Source organism: Homo sapiens, chromosome 2, assembly GCF_000001405.40.
Source record: "Homo sapiens chromosome 2, GRCh38.p14 Primary Assembly".
In the NCBI taxonomy this organism is placed as follows: domain Eukaryota; kingdom Metazoa; phylum Chordata; class Mammalia; order Primates; family Hominidae; genus Homo; species Homo sapiens.
Genome location: NC_000002.12, coordinates 224199020 through 224217817, shown reverse-complemented (window position 1 = coordinate 224217817; position 18798 = coordinate 224199020). Strand labels below are relative to the sequence as shown.

Genomic DNA, 18798 nt, shown 5'->3' with positions numbered 1-18798 from the left:
TGTACTCATAGAATGCCTGGAGCAAGTCCTATGGCCAAGGCTTAATGAGGTTATGAGTAAGACTTTTTGTCTGAAGGGTCTTACTCCTTGCTATTTGAGGACACATAAGCCTCTGAGGTCGATTCTCCAGCTGAGGCACAGATAAGCAGGGAGCTGAGAAGATGATGCCAGAGGTCAGGCAAAGTTCTGTTGTGGGACTTTTCCTTAGTTCAGCTAAATACAGGGTCCTTGTCACAGGGCTACGAAAATTTAGGCTTGCAGACAATTTGAAGGGTGAGTAAGGCAGTGTGTTATTGGGTAAAAAGGGAAACAGGGACCCTCCATAAAGCCGGAGTCCCTGCTGGTGCAATTCTCACCTCGTAGTTTGAATCTCAGGTTGCACACAGGAAGAGGAGGGGCCAGACCCTTCCCTGCTGCAAATGGTGCAGACTTCTGTGGCTCCATCCCACTGTTCATTCCTCCCAGTGCACAGGCTGGTTGGAGTTTTGACAGGGAGCCCTTCCCACCCAGCTGTCTTGGTTCCATGATAAACACGATGCCCCTTGTTGGAGCATGAACTTTCTTGAGGGATTTGAGGGACAAAAGTAACACAGGTTTTTTATCAAAATTAAAAAAGAAAAACTGTTATAGAACCAAATGTAGAGCTTAAAAATATTTTTATGGTAAGGCGCAATCACCCATTCTCTCTTCTTATTATGAACTAAATTTTGTGTTCCCTTCCTCACATTCACATATAGAAGCCCAAACGGCCAATATGATGGTATTTGGAGGTGGGGCTTTGGGGAGGTGCCTAGGTTTAGATGAAGTCATGAGGGGGAAGCCCCCTTAATGGGATTAGTGTCCTTGTAAGAAGAGGAAGAGGCTGGGTGCCGTGGCTCACACCTGTAATCCCAGCACTTTGGGAGGCCGAGGTGGGTGGATCACCTGAAGTCAGGAGTTCAAGACTAGCCTGGCCAAGATGGTGAAACCCCGTCTCTACTAAAAATACAAAAATTAGCTGGGCGTGATGGTGTGTGCCTGTAATCCCAGCTACTCGGGAGGCTGAGGCAGGAGAATCACTTGAACTTGGGAGACAGAGGTTGCAATGAGCTGAGATCATGCCACTGCACTTCAGCCTGGGCAATAGAACAAGACTCTGTCTAAAATAAAAAATAATAATAATAAATAAATAAAATAAAATAAAGAAGAGGAAGAGTCTGGAGCTTTCTATCTCTCCAGCATGGGAGGAACCAGCAAGAAGTCAGCTGACTGCTACCTGGAAGAGGTCCATCACCAGGACCTGACCAGGCACCTTGATCTTGGACTTCCAGCTCCATAACAGTGAGAAATAAATGTCTGCACCAACCCAGTTGATGGTATTTTGCTGTGGCAGCCCAAGCTGACTGAGGCATTCTTATCTCAGCCAGGGTTTGCTCTCCTCTGCCATCAGATTAATATCATTTGAACAGTTTTAAAATCACTAGTCTGGATAGTGGTTTCCAAATTTTTCTTCTGTGCTTACTACTCTCCCATTATCAAAAGGCTTATTATGCCCCTTGCCATGTCATAAAACCACTTCAAACCCTTTTAACATAGTCTATGGTTGATGATTGTCAAACTTTACAGATCGGGGGGTTTTTAGAATTAAATTTTGAATTATGTGTTATACACGCTTTCCTAATCTTTCTATATTCCTTATGGACTGTCAGGCCTCTGAGCCCAATCTAAGCCATCATATCCCCTGTGACCTGCACGTATACATCCAGATGGCCTGAAGTAACTGAAGAATCACAAAAGAAGTGAAAATAGTCTGTTCCTGCCTTAACTGATGACATTCCACCACAAAAGAAGTGAAAATGGCCAGTCCCTGCCTTAACTGATGACATTACCTTGTGAAATTCCTTCTCCTGGCTCATCCTGGCTCAAAAGCTCCCCCACTGAGCACCTTGTGACCCCCCACCCCTGCTAGCCAGAGAACAACCCCCTTTGACTGTAATCTTCCACTACCCACCCAAATCTTATAAAACAGCCCTGCCCCTATCTCCCTTCGCTGACTCTCTTTTCAGACTCAGCCTGCCTGCACCCAGGTGATTCAAAAGCTTTATTGCTCACACAAAGCCTGTCTGGTGGTCTCATCACACGGAAATGGACTAGTTGACTCCCCATGAGAAAAGAGCAGGTGACTGCTCATCCACTGAGAAAACAGATATTTCACATTTGAGACCGGAGGGCTGCTAGGCCCAGGTGAGTATCTGACCCTGTGTTCCATTCATTTGTTTCTCATCCTGACCACTAGTAGAGAGCCCTGTTATTCTGCTGTTCCGGGAATCCAATTTGGTTTTTCAGTCCCTCAGCTGCTGGGGACTCCAACTGTCATTATAAGTGTATCCTCACTTGTTATGAGTTGAATTGTGTCCCTTCAAGATACATGTATTGAAGCCCTAGCCTCCAGTGCCTCCGAGTGTGACTCCTGTGTATTAGAAATGGGTCTTTAAAGAGATTATTAAGATGATCCCATTAGGGTAGGCCCTAATCTGATATGGCTGGTGTCCCTATAAGAAAAGGCAATTTGGACACCAGGGACCAACAGGGATGCGTGCACAAAGAGGAAAGACCACATGAGGAAAGAGAGAAACATCTGCAAGTCAGGGAGACAGGCCTTAGAAGAAACCAGTCCTTCCCACACCTTGATCTTGGGCTTCAGCCTCCAGAACTGAGAAAACAAATTTTTGGTGTTTAAATCACTCCATCTGTGAGAATTCATTACGGTGGCCTGAGCCTACTAATACATTATACTAGGAAACCAGCTTTAGTTCTTCAACTGTCTGTAATTTCTGGTTTTCTTAAATGCTAAGAAACAGAAAATTGCCTCTCACATTTCTCATTAAAAACTACTGCTTGGCTCTCCATCTTTGACGTGTAGTGTCAAGAATGAGCCTTCATTGTCTGCAAGTGTTTGTGATACCTGATTTATCAATGCATGTTGCTATTGGGTAGAGGATCATCTTGCTCTCATAGCTAATACTGATCAGGGAGAGAGTCATGGTCTGACTAAGTGTACCCAAGTACACTTAGCAGGTTAGTCCTTAGTCCTGGGTGCTTAGGAAACAATGACTAGCAGCCCAATTTCTCTTTCAGTCTCCCTCTCTCTCTCTCTGTGTGTGTCTGTGCGTGTGTGTGTGTCCTCACAAAGTTCCAGCAGCATTGCCTTGGGGATAGGAGTACAATCGCAATACTCTGAGATGCTAGCATGTCATGAAGGAAGGACAGAGCCACTAGTCAGAAGCCTAGATAGAGACTGTGCAAAGAGGAAGTAAACAGGGGCTTGTTAAAGAGATAGATGGGGCTGGGCGTGGTGTCTCACGCCTGTAATTCCAGCACTTTGGGGAAGCAGGCGGACCACTCAAGGTCAGGAGTTCGAGACCAGTCTGGCCAACATGGTGAAACCCTGTCTTTACCAAAAATACAAAAATTAGCCAGGTATGGTGGCACACACCTGTAGTCCCAGCTACTCAGGAGGCTGAGGCTGGAGAATTGCGTGAACCTGGGATGTGGAGGTTGCAGTGAGCTGAGATCGCACCACTGCACTCCAGCCTGGGCAACAGAGGGAGACTCCATCTAAAAAAAAAGAAAAAAGAGAGAGAGATAGATGGGGAAAAAGTCATTGGCCAAAGTCACAGCCTTACCTTCACTAGAAATCCATGAGCATCAGGCTGGAAGAGTTTACCTGGAGAGTGGGAAGAAAACGGATTGGAAAAACAAGAGAATAGCGAACCATGCAAGGATTATTCTCAGGTTGGTTAGTGACTGCAGCATTTTATTTTAGGCGTCCTGGCCTCACAATAAATTGTTTTTAGTATAAGTATGCCCCATGATATATTTGGGACATGCTTATACTAAAATTATTTGTTGTTCATCTGAAATTCAAATTTAACTGAGCATCCTAAGTTTTACATGGCAATCTTACCCAAGAGCTGATTCTCCACATAGCCAGAGAAATCTTCATGAAATCATGCAACTTCGAAGAGCCAAGCCTTTCATTCTCCCTCAAATTCAAGGTCCAAATCTTTGCCATGGTCTGCAAGGCTGGTCATGCTCATCCCCCCAACCTATCTCTTACCACTCTCTGCCTTGCCTATTACAGTCTTTGCTCAAAAGTCACCTACTGGATAAGGCCTTTCCTAGTGACCTTCTCTAAAATAGCCGGCCTCACCTGATAAGATCTATGCCTTTATTCATAGCACAAATGACTCGTGAAATGTGATGTGCCCATTTGTTATTGGATATCTTCCTTATCAGAATGTAAGCTCTGCAGGCTAAGTCTGCATTTCGCATTTCTTTTGCTTCCGTATTCTCAGCATTTGGAGCTCTACCTGACAGATGATACATTCTTAACAAAGAGTTGTGGAAAGAATAATTGAACCAGGATTCCATAATCAATATGCAGCAAAACTTAGCACATTGGTGCCAACTAGCACTTAGTAAGCTGGAATCTGCCTATGATTTTTAAGTGAATCAAGTAAAAATAATTCTAAAGATTATTAATGTTTCTAGCCTCCTTGGAGAATCAACAAAAACAAGAGTTAAGAAACTTTAGCTGGAAAAACAGAACTACTATTCAACCCAGCGATCCCATTACTGGGGATATACCCAAAGAAATATAAATTGTTCTATCATAAACACACATGCATATGTATGTTCATTGCAGCATTATTCACAATAGTAAAGACGTGGAATCAACCTAAATGCCCATCAATGACAGATTGAATAAAGAAAATGTGATGTATACACACCATGGAATACTATGAAGCCATAAAAAAAAGAATGAGATCATGTCCTTTGCAGAAACATGGATGGAGCTGGAGGACATTATCCTTAGCAAACTAGCACATGGATGGAAAACGAAATACTACATGTTCTCACTCACAAGTGGGAACTAAATTATGAGAACACATGGACACTAAGGGGGGAACAATAGACACTGGGGCCTCCCTGAGGGTAGAGGGTGGGAGGAGGGACAGGATCAGGGAAAATAATGGGTACTATGCTTAGTACCTGGGTGATGAAATAATCTGTACAACGAACCCCCTTGACATGCAGTTTACCTGTATAACAAACCTGCACATGTACTCGTGAACTTAAAAGTTTAATAAAAAAAGAAACTAGTTGGAGAAATGAGTAAGAAGGACTGAACAGAGCATTACATTGTTGATGTCCAATCACTCTGTTGAATGCATATAAAATTTCTTATTTAAACGTGTTTGCATTTAAAAAAACCCTTGCTTGTTTCTTCATTATGTTAATTTGTTCCAACTCCACATTTTATAATAGAGCTTTCTTACATTTCCATAAATAGGGATAAATATAAGAAATATTTCTTATATTTCCATATGGATAGCTCAAAGTGTACTTTTTTTTTCTTCAGTCAGCCCAATTTTTCTGAGCTTATGTGTCTTTTAATGCACTCCTTTCTTCTTCGTCTCCTGGGTGGGAAGACATTACATTTTAACTTTTAAAAGTTAGAAGAAATACACAAAAATAGCTGTAAGAGTCCAGTGGAAAATGGAAATATAAGAAATATTAAAATCTATAATTCGCAAAGTAACCACAACTCTCATCTTTAAATGAAAGGAGGAAATTCAAAGGCCCAGTCAAAGCAAAATTTAGCAGTCTTTTGGGTAATACATTGCAGAGAGCCTGCGGAACCGAAATCAAGATGAACCTTTGAAATGCAGGAAGTCTGGTCCTATCCATTTTGCATTCTTGTCTTGGAGCAATCGACTGTAACCTTCAAAGTATAATGAATGAATTGTGTTGCATCACAGAGAGGGTGGGAGTGGAGGGAGGAGGGAAGATTTAGGGGAAATGTCAGACTTGAGTGGGAGCTAAAAGCCTGTGATTGCATTCATTTGCTTCATACAGCTGAGGACGGCAAGCAAATGGAGCTGGGATACACTGAAAGAGATGGAGAATTACATATTTTTTCTTAATTAAATGCTTCTTGTGTTTTCCTTCCTGGCCTTCAATGGTACTTATTTTTCCCTACTTGTATTAAAGCAGCGTGACATTCTCTATAGGGGGAAAATACAGAGTTTCTTTTGGTTGTATGGAAATATTTACTGGCAGCAGACAAGAATATGTTTCTCCAAAGGGAAGGCTGCATTTGTCAAAGATTTGCTTGGATTCTGCCTTCCTTGCTGGGAATAGTTATTTACTCTTAATTAGCCCTAAATACAGTTGAGTGGAGGAAGGACCTTATTTTAAATGACTGACAGTGATTAAAAGGGCAGTTGATGGGCACGAATCAGAGATCATCATCAATAATAAAATCTGATGATAGGAACAACATGTATTTTATGTTCCCATAAACATAGATTTAGTGAAAGTAAGCCCACATAATAGTACTTGTGGCAGAGGCTGAATTGCTCTGAATTTAATTTAGAACAACATAAAAGATCCAGTATCAGCTGCAGGGCACCAGGCTGGGTTTCAGCCTAGGGGAGGCATCTGTTATGAGAACTAAGGCCATTTCTGCATTTTGTCCTGCATGCTTTCCATTTAGGAAGAACCTCATGAATATCTGGGATTCTCTGAAGGTGAACTCATCTTTCCAGAGTGTCAGCACAGTCAACCTTCTCAGCTACCCCATAGCACTGTCTTGACCACCTTATCTGTCACACAGATACACACACTCACAACTTTACAGCTAATTTAATCTCTTTTTATCATTTCCTGTCTGTCAACTTAATCTGAGTGAATTATCCTGGACATTTGTTACCCTTGGGCCACCATCCACTATGAGGATCAAGAAAGGGAAAGATTTACTTCCAGTAGAGATGGGAGGGACTCATTGATGGCTCCCATCTCTCCACCCCTTCCTGACTTCCCTGGATCATGTAGCGGTAGGGTGGTGGAGGAAGACCACCTCATTGCTGCACTCACCTGGGCTTGCTTTCCACCACCTTGGGCCTGGGCCTGCATTGTAGTGTTTTACTTACATAACTTTTTGAAATCAACACACCCCCATTGTCCCCAGGGCACATCCCCAGTGCACTCAGAGGTTTCTCTGATCACACTTACCAGTCAGGACTGTTCCTACCCCGCCCATGACCTCTTGCCCTGGGATAAAGAGTGTAGGAAGTCCCTCTCCATTTCAGTTCCGAAGGGATGCCCACGTTTCCTGTCCCAGGATGAGTGACAGTTCTTTTAGTGGAAACAACCACCACCACCCCCACCCCCGCCCCCAGCTTTATTATGAATGCAAACCTTACCCTTACAGTTTCTGGCAATCTTGATCTAGAGACAGCAAATGAATCTGCTATTATATAAATCCGCCATTATTTAAATTAGATCTCTAGTCAGGAAAGCTGATCTCATCCCTCACACCCTGCCTGCCTGGAAGAAGGGAGCAGTGTCCTGCATGCTCTTCCATGCTTTGCCAGCCAGAGCTCCCCCAAAAGCAGCTTTCCTGTGATACCTCCTGGGGCACAAAGTGTCTGATCCCACCAAGGTGAGGGTTAGCATTTTGCTAAGCTGAATTTTCATACTCAGACAAGGTGGGAACGGAATGAAGCTCATTCGTTTTACTTTAGGAAGAGTTAAAAGGTAAGATTTCTTTCTCAGAGACATTTTGCAAACACTGGCAATTTCCATCGATGACTCTCAGTGGTTTCAGTGGTTGACTTACGGACCTTAGAGGAAAAACAAGGTGACCAGCTGGGTCACACAGACGTATTCAAGTTAACCAGAAGAACCCAAAACGTTACAGCTCCAATGTGAAAGTTTTTGTTACAAGAATTGTTAGAGACCTGCTCTTTGCTATTTGCCGGAATAAATCCCTACCCCCAGGCAGCATGTGTGAAGATTGAAGTCAAACCTGCCACCCAGTGCAAAAATAACCCCAGGCCACACTTCCCCAAGAAAATACAGTGATGAAAAATAAAATACAATTGCTATTTTGTAGAACAGCTTCCATAAGTCTCTCTTGGCTCTGGGGAAATGAGCGAGATGGTTCTTTGTGAAGTTCATACTGATTAGACCAAATGTAGCCAAAGGAAATCTTATGTCTCTTCCATCTTTCTACGCCCAGTCTCTGGTGGATAAGGCAGGGCTGCAAATAGCCTAAAATATACAATCACTATAATTTCAGGAAGTGAAATATCTGAAATGACCCTTTGGAGAAATTACAAATAGAAATATGTGACTTAAGTGAGAAGCCAATGCTGTGGGGGAAAGGACTGTTTGGCAGTCACTAATGGAAGAAATTTACAGCACTCACTACCTGCTCTCAGCTCACAGGGTGGTTGGCAGAGTGAGGCCCCAATGGCCCACATGAGGCTGGTGTAGAGATAGGGCTGGCTGCTTGTTCTGGTAAGTAAATTGGTCTAACTCTAGAGCTCTCCAAATTGTCAGGCTTGAAATCCAACGTGTTCAGTGCCCTAATGTTCATGATAGTGATGTAAAGGAACATTGCTCTGTATTAGGAAAATCAGAGTGCTAAATGCCTAGGCCAAGGTATGTGACTTAGGGTGTTACCCATTCTTGCTGATGGAAGAGCCCCCCTGAAATTTGTTTTTTGTTGTTGTTTATTTATTCAACAAATGAACAAATGTTACTCGTGAGCTTACTATCCTCCAGGCACTATTCTATGCATTGGAGCTACATCAATGAACTAAAGAAGAAAAGGCTCCTTTTGCCCTCATGGAGTTTATATTTTAGTTGAAAGAGACAGACAGTACTAAAGTAGATGTCTAGCAGATTTTACGTCAATCACTGTGATGGAGGACAAATAAAGCAGGACAAGGAATACAGAGTGACGGTGGCCCAGTGAACAGAGACATGAATAAAACAAGGAAAACAGCTGTGGGGAAGAGGGTCTAGAAATGCCCATAAAAATATCCACTATGTCTATAGGATATCTCTCATCTCCATGCTGTTGCAACAAAGGGAGGAGATTAGAAGCTCCCTGATGATAACAATAAGAAAGTTATTGAGCCCTGAATATGTACCAAGCACTGTGCTATGCCATGTATTTTGTCAATCAATCCATTTATTGACACCATAGTCAGAGAGGACCAGAGAAGTTAGGTGATTTGCTGGAGGTCACACAGATAAGATGTAAGTGCTGGATTTGGGACTTGAACCTAGGCTTCCCAATCAACCCCAAACTTGATAAGAAACAATAGCAGTTGTCATTTATTGCGAAACTGCTATGTCCAGGTATTGTATCTGGTGCTTTGCATATATTGAATAGATGTTGGGGTTCATAAGGGAAACCAATGTCACACATATGTCTACTACCCTGGAGGTTTGTTTGTGGCTGATAACACACCCTCTCTACCTCTGGCATGCACCAAAGGTTAGAAAACAAGAGCACCACTTCCACTAAAACACTCTCAGCCTTATTACACAGTCTGCTCAATGAACCTTCAGTGTACTCCTGCTCTACCTCTCCAGCCTCATCCTTCACCAACCTCTCCTTGCTCACACTGCTCCAGCAGCATTGGCCTCCTTGTGGTTCCTTGAATATGCCAAGCACACATCAGCTTCAGGGCCCTTGGACTTGTTATTCCCTCTGCCTGGAACACTTGTCCTGAGATACCCACATAGCTGCTCCTTTACATCATCCAGTTCTCTGCTCAAACGTCGTCTTGAAAGGATGCATTTCCTCACCAACAGATGGAAACCAGTGCATACCCTGTGCCTGTCCTGTCACTTTCCACCTCCCTTTCTCTGCTTTATTTTTCTGCACAGCTCTTATTGCCTCTTGACACGTTTCACATTTGATTTTTGTTGTCTGCCCTTTCCTTATTTGAAGCTCTGTTTTGTTTTCCCATTTCCCCAGCAACTAGAGAACAAGGCCTGGCATACAAAAGGCATTCAGTAAGCAATTTTTGATAAATTATTAAATCAAGAGAAATGTACCTAATTAACAAGATCTGTGTATCTTGAAGAATGTTGTCAGGTGAACAGAGAAAAAGATGTAATACTTTTTTACATTCACCATGCTTTTCTAGGCAAGGTGAATATTTTTTCACTAATAGTACAACATAATTCCATCGAGACAAACATAATAGGGAGCCATTTCTCTGGGCTCCTATCAACAGAGAGGCATTGCAAGGTGGAAGCCAGTGGTGTTCAGAGACAAGGAGCTTTCACTCCAACACAGTCCTGGGTGTTTTATTTAGATAATATTGAGGGAAGGCTGATCAAAGGGTATTAAAAGCTTAGATGTTCACAAACATGTTCCTGATGCTTTCTACAAGTTAGGAGGCTAACTTAGTCATCCAGGAAAAAGATATTGGTGTCTCAGAATAAGGTGATGATGAAAAAAATAAAGAGAATGTATTTGAAGTGTATTTTGTAGATAGAATCCAGGTTTACTGATGAATTGGAGGGAAGGAACAGAGGGAAATGGAAAATACAAAGACAATTCTCAGGATTTTGGCTTGATCATGATAGTTACTGAAATATATAAGACTAGAGGATGATAGGGGAAATCTAGTTACCTTTTTTAGGTTTGATAAGTTTGAAAAACCTATCAGTTGTAAGTGGAGACATCAAAGCTTAGGGTAAATCTCTGAAACTGGAATAAATTTTGGACTCATTAGGATAAATATAATATTTAAGCCCTATAAAGGCTGCAGCCCCAAGATAAAACCTTGATGTACAGCCTTCCAAAGCTAGGTTATAAAATGACTTAGCCTGAGTTGGTCTCAATCCTCTCTCTCTCTCTCTCTCTCTCTCTCTCTTTCTTTCTTTCTCAGGGCTCATGCTTGAAACCCGGTCATCACATCTTGAGGAAGCTCAGGTGTATTAGTCCGTTCTCATGCTGCTGCAAAGAACTGCCCGAGGCTGGGTGATTTATAAAGGAAAGAGGTTTAGTTGACTCACAGTTCCACATGGCTGGGGAGGCCTCATGAAACTTACCATCATGGTAATCTTCACATGGCAGCAGGAGAGAGAAGTGCCAAACAAAGGGAGAAAGCCCCTATAAAACCATCAGATCTCATGAGAACTCACTCACTATCAGGAGAACAGCAGCATGAGGGTAACCATCCCCATGATTCAATTACCTCCCATCAGTTCCCTCACACAAGTGGGGATTATGGAAACTACAATTCAAGATGACTTTTGGGTGGGGACATATGGAGAGGCTTTGTGTGGATATTCCGACTGAGGTTTTGGCTTACAGTGAGCTTCAACTACTCCAGTTCCCAGTCTTTGAATCTTCCAGAGGAGGCCCCAGACATGGCAAGGAGATGGGGCATCCCTCTTCTGTCCTGTTTGAATTCCTGACCCACAGAATTAGTTAGCATAAGAAATGGTAGTTTTACACCGCTGAATTTTAGTTTAATTTTTTACACACATAGTTACTGGCACTTCTCTTTTGGGGCATGCTCCTTCATATTCTAGAGATAACTTGGAAAAAGTCTGACTACAGTGAAGCTGCCATACTGGAGATTTCACATGGAGACCACATAGAGCCATAGAAAGATGCTGGAAGAGCCTCCGCTGTTGGAGTCTGATGTGTTTTGAGCTCCTCAGCCTCTACTGCCAGACATGGAAATGGCAGAGCCTTTAGATGATTCTTGTCTACAGCCTTAAGCCACCCAGATGGTTCTACTGAACCCTGTCCCATGAGTGGTTTGTGAGCTGTTATTGTTTTAAGCCACAAAGTTAGCGTGCTTTGATATGCAACATTAGATAATTGCAACAGTGAACTTATCAAGGAAATGTAGCAATTAGTATGAGTTGCAGTAGGGGAAAAGTGAGTGAGAGGTGGGCAGATGAAAACAATGTGTGGTCATCTCTTTCAAGAGATTGAGTTGGGAATGGAAATCAATAACTGTGGTGGCAATATGAGAAAGATGAGGACATAATTTTTTTTCTAACATGGGAGATATTGAAGCATGTTTGCAGGATATTGCAAATAATTCTGCAGAGAAGTAGATATTAATTTATAAGAGCAAAAAGAATAGATCAAATGAACAAAGTCTTCGAGAAGCTTTAAGACTTCTTGAGAAGCAGTCATGAAATTGACTTCCCCTTACACTAGGTGAGAAGGAAAGGAAGATGGGTGTGTGTGGAGGTTTGTAGATTTGTTGGTGAGAAGGTGATGGTTTCCATCTGTACTAGTCTGCTTGGGCTGCCGTAACAAAATACTATAGACTTGGTAGCTTAAATAAGAGAAATTAATTTTCTCCCAGTTGTGGAGACAGGAAGTCCAAACCAAGGTGCCAGTGGCATTGATATCTGGCGAGGGCTATCTCCTTGGGTTGCAGATGGCTGCCTTCTTGCTTTGTCCTCACATGATAGAGTGAACACTCTGGGGTCTCTTCCTCTTCTTATAAGACTACCAGCCCCATTGACTTAGGGCCCCACCCTAATGACCCCGTGTAACCTTAACTTCTTTCTAAGGGCCCCATCTCCAGCTATAGTCACCCTGGGGGTGGGGGTGAGGGTATTCAACATATCAATTTTGGAGGAACATAGTTCAGTCCAGCAGCATTCAACAGTTTCTACCTTCTTAATGAAGAATAGGGCAACATTGTTGCTGGTATTTAAGGGGGCTGGAGGGTTGATGTGAGGAGAGATGGGGGTGGTTGAAATTATTATCTTAAAATGTAGAAATGTGGCATAAATTCTGGACTATGTTGAGTGCACAGTAGAGGTTGGCCAGCTCAGCCATTCAGTTGGCAGTGTAAAAAGAAGCAAAAATTGGGCAAAATCAGGTTCAGAGTCTTCCCTGGAAGGTACATCAGAGACAGTGGCATGGAATCTAAGGGTGTTTATAAGATAGTAGTTGTGATAATGGACTGTGTAATAGACACTAAGAAAATAAGACAAAATAATAAGAAAGTTATGGGGTCCTTGGATTGGTGGTCTTGATGAGTCTCAAAATACATTGCAGTGGAAGTTCTAGAAGGTCTAGAAAAATCTGGCCTTCACAGTTTGATAAGATTTAGGCAAAATGGGTTGGAAGGGTGGAAAGTGTTAGCTGAAGAGTGCTGGATACTGTGTAAGACAGCTACTAGGGATGACAGAGTCCAGGGACTGTTGCTAGTGAAGAAAACCTAAGTACTTAGAAATCCACTCTTTGGGATCAATGACCAAAGATGACCCAAAAGTTCAGAAAGGAATAGAGACACTTCAGTCTATTTTAAGAGCAGATTGTATTACCTTAGATATAAAACTTTTCCTATAAGAAAAATGGAACTGAAAAATCCTTTGAAAAGTTCCTCCTGAGAATTTTCATTTCCAAGTACTATAAAAAATGATTGCAGTGTCTCTTACATTAAGGTTGATACTGATGTTAAATGTGAAATATATGAAAACCTGTTGGAAGTCTCTGAAACGGAACTAATACACCTGTAGCTAGCTTACATAATGAGTCTCCCTTTGTTTTGTGGTATTTGGCCTCAGATAAATTGCTGATCTTAGCCCATGCTCCGTTGCCTTCTACTTGCTGAGTCTTTGCCCATATAGCTTGATGAATCTTGTGGAGACAAACATAATGCCTGCCACTGCTGTAACTGACCTGGGGCTGGGAGTGCTAGTTTCAGCACTGAACACATTTTCTCATTTTTTCTGTGTTCTTTTTGTCTCTAGTTTTGGAGGTGTTGGAGGTTATGATTACAAACCTTGACACATTCCCTGCATTGGGAGATGAATTGAAATATGGTTGTTCTGTTGAGATACCCTCTGGAAGAACCATACACACATACCCATTTATCAGTAAATGTGACTGGTGAACTGTATGCCCTAGAATGTTTCTAGAAAAATCAGCAAAATGAGTATAACCAACACACCAGGTGGTATTTCATAAAGATTATTTATGTCTAAACCAAAGGTAAAAGGAGATTATAGAGCTCATTTTTTTCTTTTATTCCCTTTCTCCTCTCTCCATCCTATCGTCGCAGCACTCATATCATCAAACCACAAAGAATTTACTTCTCCCAGCCTTCAGAATTAATAAATTACCCAACCTCTGGAATCTAGACGTAGCCACTGTCCAACAGAACTTTGTGATGATGGAAATGGTCCACATCTGTGCTGTCTAATATGGTGGCCTCTAGCCACATGTGGCTATTGAGAACTTGAATTTTTATTTTGTTTAATTGTGAATAATTTAAATTTAAATAGCCAGAGGTGATAATGACTACCTTATTGGGCAGTGCAACTAATCAGTTCAATTTATCGAGTACCTGCCTTATGCAAAAGAATGTAAGAGAACAGGGGAAAGAGACAGCTTTTCTTCTGAAGAAACGTCCTTGGTGCTGGTCCATCAGGCAGCATTTCTAAAGCAGACAAGTTCCCTGGAACAGAACAAGAAGGATAGCTTACCCCCTAGCCATCCTAGAGGTGAAAAATCTGACTCTCATAGTTTGACGTAGAATTTAGGCAAAATGGGTGTGTAACACAACATAACTAAGCTATAGCAACTTTGCTTGATATATAGGGCACGATTATCAGAAATATCACTGAAAATGTTCCAACAACTGTCTTAATCAAGTTTTTATGGCATAAAAACACAACTCCAATATCTGCGGTTTACAATAGCATACATTTATGATTCTTACCCGCATGTCTGCAGATTAGCTGGGTAGCTCTGCTTCTGCCTACAGGTTGGGCTTAAATTGGCTGCATGTATCTGCCACCCTAGGAAGCTCTCCTGGAAGATGGTACAAGAGGGCAAGCCAAACAAAACAAGCACACTGAAAGTTCTGTTCATGGTATTTGCACTAACATTTCATTGGCCAAAGCAAGTAACATGGCCAACCTGAAAGTCAGTGAGGCGGGAAGGTTTTCCCCACCTACCTTACTAGGAGGCGTCATACAGTCACATGGCAAAGAGTACAGATGTATCATGTGTTCCTGGGAGAGAGTGAAGTGTTTGGAACAGTCATACAGTCTACACAAATACTTAGAACTCCATGGGCTTGGTTAGGGTAATATTTTCTCAGACAGCGAATTCATCCTTTTCTTCAGGATGATTCTCCCTCCTCCTCCTACCTGTTGTAACTTCCTCGGGTGGAGTCCACTATCCTTGGTAACAGCAAAAAGCAGACAGAGCACCGAAGGTATCAAGTTGGCTCAGTAACCCAAGCCAAGTCAGAAGCCACCATACCAGAAGAACACGCCTGGGGAATCCTGGGAGCTCCTTCCATGCAACAGTGTCCACCACAGAGAATAGGCGAGTCACTGTGGATTTGCCAAAACTCTCAGTCTACTGGCACTGACTATAACTGTATAAGAAGAAGACATAACAAGTTTGTAGTATACAGGATGTTTGTAAGTTTGCAGGCTCAATGTAATCTTTAAATTCCAAATCCAAGTCCAGCCCCTTGTGATCTCATTCTCTGTCAGATCCCCAACACTTCCGCAGACCATCTCCCAAGGCAGAACTAGTAGACGATACATTGCTCTTCTTCTAATGGACTGCTTTCTTCATTTGCACATGGGTTTTTAAATCATTTACCCATTCATTCACTTATCCATTCAACAAATATTGATTTGAGTATTGACTCTGCTGGGAAATGTTTTAAGCTCTATGGATACTGCTGTGAACAAAAGAGAAAGATGTGTTTTTCTGATGAGAAATGAAACTGATAGGCAATGGAAAAAATAAATACATAATACAATGTTTTAAAAAGATAAAGTGCTTGAGAATGACTGGGGTGCTGTCTATCTTACACATGGTGGTTGGAGAAGTTCACTCTGAGGATACGACCTTGGAGAAAAGACCTGAATAAGTGAGGAATGAAGAAAATGATAGCAAAGTGTTCCCGGCAAAGGGAACATTGATGACCCAGGGATATACAAGGCATGTTTAAGGAGGAGCTTGAAGAACAATGTGGCTGGAACAGAAGGAGGTGGGGAGAGAGAGAGTAGGAAGTAATTAGACCAGATAGGGATTGGGGGCTTTGCAGGCTGGGAAGTCACTGGAATATTCTGAACAGGGGAGTGACATGAATGTAACTCGAGTGAGAAGGCATGCCGTTCTGGAACACACTGGCGTGGTGTCTGCCTACTTCCATGGAAAACCCACTTCTGTTCTGTCAAGCTGTCCTCCAACTGTGTACTTGCTTCATCTTGACTCATCAGTTCTTATGATTCCAAGAACTTAAGCAGTCTGTGCTCTCCCCTTCTCCATCTCACATGTCTTCCAGGATCCCCTTTGTATTCACTGTCCCTTGTTATTTCTGTTAGCTCAACCTAATATATTTCCCACATCTGACCTATTAAGATGGAAATCTGATCAATCCATTAGGCTTATATCACTCACTGCAAACATGCTAATTGTACGCTTGCTGTGTGCGAGGTTTTGAACAAGGAAATAAGAGGGCTCAAATGTGAATTGAAATGGATCTGGCAGTTCAGGAACTTACAGTGTAATATGGGGTTTCCCAATTGTTTTAAGTATAATGACCTCCATTACCATAAAAATTCTCTATCTGCTGCCTAATAATATTATATGATCTTTAATATTCATTCATTGAAGAACTACATAATGACAAGAAATTCTTATGCATTTTTTTTTCAATGAAATGGAGTTTTGCTCTTGTCGCCAAGGCTGGAGTGCAATTGTATAATCTTGGCTCACCACAACCTCCGCCTCCCGGGTTCAAGCGATTCTCCTTCCTCAGTCTCCCAAGTAGCTGGGATTACAGGTGCCCGCCACCACACTCGGCTAATTTTTGTATTGTTAGTAGAGATGGGGTTTCACCATGTTGGCCAGGCTGGTCTCGAACTCCTGACTTCAGGTGATCCACCTGCCTCGGCCTCCCAAAGTGCTGGGATTACAGGCGTGAGCCACCATGCCTGGCCAAGTTCTGATACATTTTATAACACTCTTTATGCATTTCTTTTGTATTAACACAATGGCTCTCACATAATAGTAAACACGTTTCTGATACGTTACCAATTCAGTACAATGTGAGCTGTGAGTGTGGATTTTCCATACTTTGTGATAATTTCATCTCACATTACACCCGTGGAACTGAAAAGTACCAAACCCGGAACAGAACCCAGCTGGCCCCCAGCCCCTTTACTCTGACAAATAGGGGCAAAGCTCAATGTGCAGAAATGTTGAGCTTTGGGGATGCCCCAAAATAAATGCACATACCTCACATGAGTCAGCATGAGTGGCCTATAAGCAACTGTGCTCTTGAATCAATTCCAAAAACCAGGGGCAGGCCTGGCTACATAATTTTCAGGCCCCCAGTGCAAAATGAAAATGCTGTCCTGTTTCTTCAAATACTTATTAAGGATTTCAAGACAGTGACAATTGAACACGAAAACAAGTTAAAAGAGTCTAAGCATGGGTCCCGGGGTGACCGGTGAAACCAGCCCTGCATGGGGGCCTACTATACAGTAACACATCTGCGCACACTAAGCCAACACAAGACATTACCATTCAACAGCAGCAAATAAAATGGCGGCACCTACCACGTGCCAGGCATTTCTCTAAGTGCTTTGTGTATAATATCACATTTAACTTGTGAAATAAGTACTCTTCTTATTCTCATTTTGCAAATAAGGAAACTAAGGCACAGATAGATTTAGTAACTTGCCAAGATTATATAGCTAGTGAGACAAAGATCCAGGATTCGAACACGCAGAGTCTGGCTGCAGAATATAGACCTGTAACTCCTAATGTGATCCTGTTTCCCTAATGTTGCTTGGCTTGTTTTGAGGATTAAATGAGAAAATATTGCGAAGGTGTTTGTTAATTTCATGTTATACATATTGAGCATCTACTGTGTATCAGGCATTGTTCTGAACCTATTTTAGCTCATTTAATTTTCAAAACTGTCATATGGATATGTATAATTATTAATGTTGAGGGAACCACAGAGTAGAGAGACACTAAGTAAATTGCCCAAAGACACACAGCAAGTGAGATATTGAGCCAGGGTTTGAAATATGAAAGTAAGTAGAAAATAAGTAATAAAAAATGAGAACATTCATTGTTATTCAGTTATATGTATTATACAGTTATTATATAATCATAAGAAATGTTGTGCTTTCTTGTAGGAGGGTTCTGAAAGCATTATCTTTAAAAAATTTCTTTTAGGATGGAAAGAGAATGAAAGAGTATAGTTAGAATCAGAAGACACAATAAAAGTAGGCTCTTGCTTATGTGGTATTCACATTTTATGGAAAAACAAGGAGCCCTTACATTTTCTGGGTCTGTAACTCATGTCTTACTTTTTTTTATGACGTTGAAATTGATTCTCTAGTACAATGTAAATAAGGAGGCTTTCCTTTTTCTCAGTTTTCCTCCATTTTCTTACTAATTAAACTTGCCATAAGGGTAATGATTAATCTTTCTCAACCACCAACTACCCTGCCCCCATCTGTGTTGAGCAGAATTTCCACACTGTTTGAAATGCTCATTCTCTGGTGCTGTAAAGAAATAGCACTTGAACATAAACTTAATTTATTTAGTAAGCCATTTTTACTTCCTGCAGAAAGTGTACACTCACCAGCAGTTTTGCCACGAGAGTACAGCGAGCAAAGGAGATAGGGTCATTTATAACCTGACGGGTCTACCTTACTGCTGTGTCCGGTTTCCATTGGCTGGAACGGGACCTCACATTCTGTATTCATCCTGATTGGCTAGCAACTTAGAACTTTTTAAAAGAGGCAAAGGTAGAGGAGAACAAAGGAAGGAGGAAGTAACTTGTGGAATGCTGAGAAAGATAAAAACGCTTTTCAATAAGGAAGAGAAACAGGCTATAACCGAATGCTTGCTTGGACCAGTATAAGCACGCCAGGGCAAATATTTAGGCTAAATTGTGGGAGCTAAGGACA

General features: G+C 41.8%; 1 long non-coding RNA gene across 2 annotated transcripts, besides 4 other annotated features; it reads right to left on the bottom strand.

Annotated features, from left to right (window-relative positions):
- Positions 1513 to 2290: an enhancer, noted in NCBI's record as "NANOG-H3K27ac hESC enhancer chr2:225080245-225081022 (GRCh37/hg19 assembly coordinates)". NCBI's record gives its function as "activates a minimal SCP1, AML or CMV promoter by ChIP-STARR-seq in naive and primed H9 embryonic stem cells {active_cell/tissue: H9 hESC(naive and primed)}" and the evidence as "EXISTENCE:reporter gene assay evidence [ECO:0000049][PMID:30033119]".
- Positions 2291 to 3067: an enhancer, noted in NCBI's record as "H3K27ac hESC enhancer chr2:225079468-225080244 (GRCh37/hg19 assembly coordinates)". NCBI's record gives its function as "activates a minimal SCP1, AML or CMV promoter by ChIP-STARR-seq in naive H9 embryonic stem cells {active_cell/tissue: H9 hESC(naive)}" and the evidence as "EXISTENCE:reporter gene assay evidence [ECO:0000049][PMID:30033119]".
- Positions 3068 to 3845: an enhancer, noted in NCBI's record as "H3K27ac hESC enhancer chr2:225078690-225079467 (GRCh37/hg19 assembly coordinates)". NCBI's record gives its function as "activates a minimal SCP1, AML or CMV promoter by ChIP-STARR-seq in naive H9 embryonic stem cells {active_cell/tissue: H9 hESC(naive)}" and the evidence as "EXISTENCE:reporter gene assay evidence [ECO:0000049][PMID:30033119]".
- Positions 6313 to 6850: an enhancer, noted in NCBI's record as "NANOG-H3K27ac hESC enhancer chr2:225075685-225076222 (GRCh37/hg19 assembly coordinates)". NCBI's record gives its function as "activates a minimal SCP1, AML or CMV promoter by ChIP-STARR-seq in primed H9 embryonic stem cells {active_cell/tissue: H9 hESC(primed)}" and the evidence as "EXISTENCE:reporter gene assay evidence [ECO:0000049][PMID:30033119]".
- On the bottom strand, positions 14130 to 15073 carry LOC105373908 (uncharacterized). 2 transcript variants are annotated; one of them, XR_923954.2, is made up of 4 exons: positions 14995 to 15073; positions 14800 to 14856; positions 14562 to 14653; positions 14130 to 14297 (listed from the first exon to the last, which is right to left on the bottom strand). It is a non-coding gene; the product is annotated as an uncharacterized LOC105373908 (long non-coding RNA). The 2 variants fall into 2 exon arrangements; XR_001739173.2 differs by lacking the exon at positions 14800 to 14856 and having other exon boundaries at positions 14995 to 15054.
- Positions 15074 to 18798: the final 3725 nt, after the last annotated feature.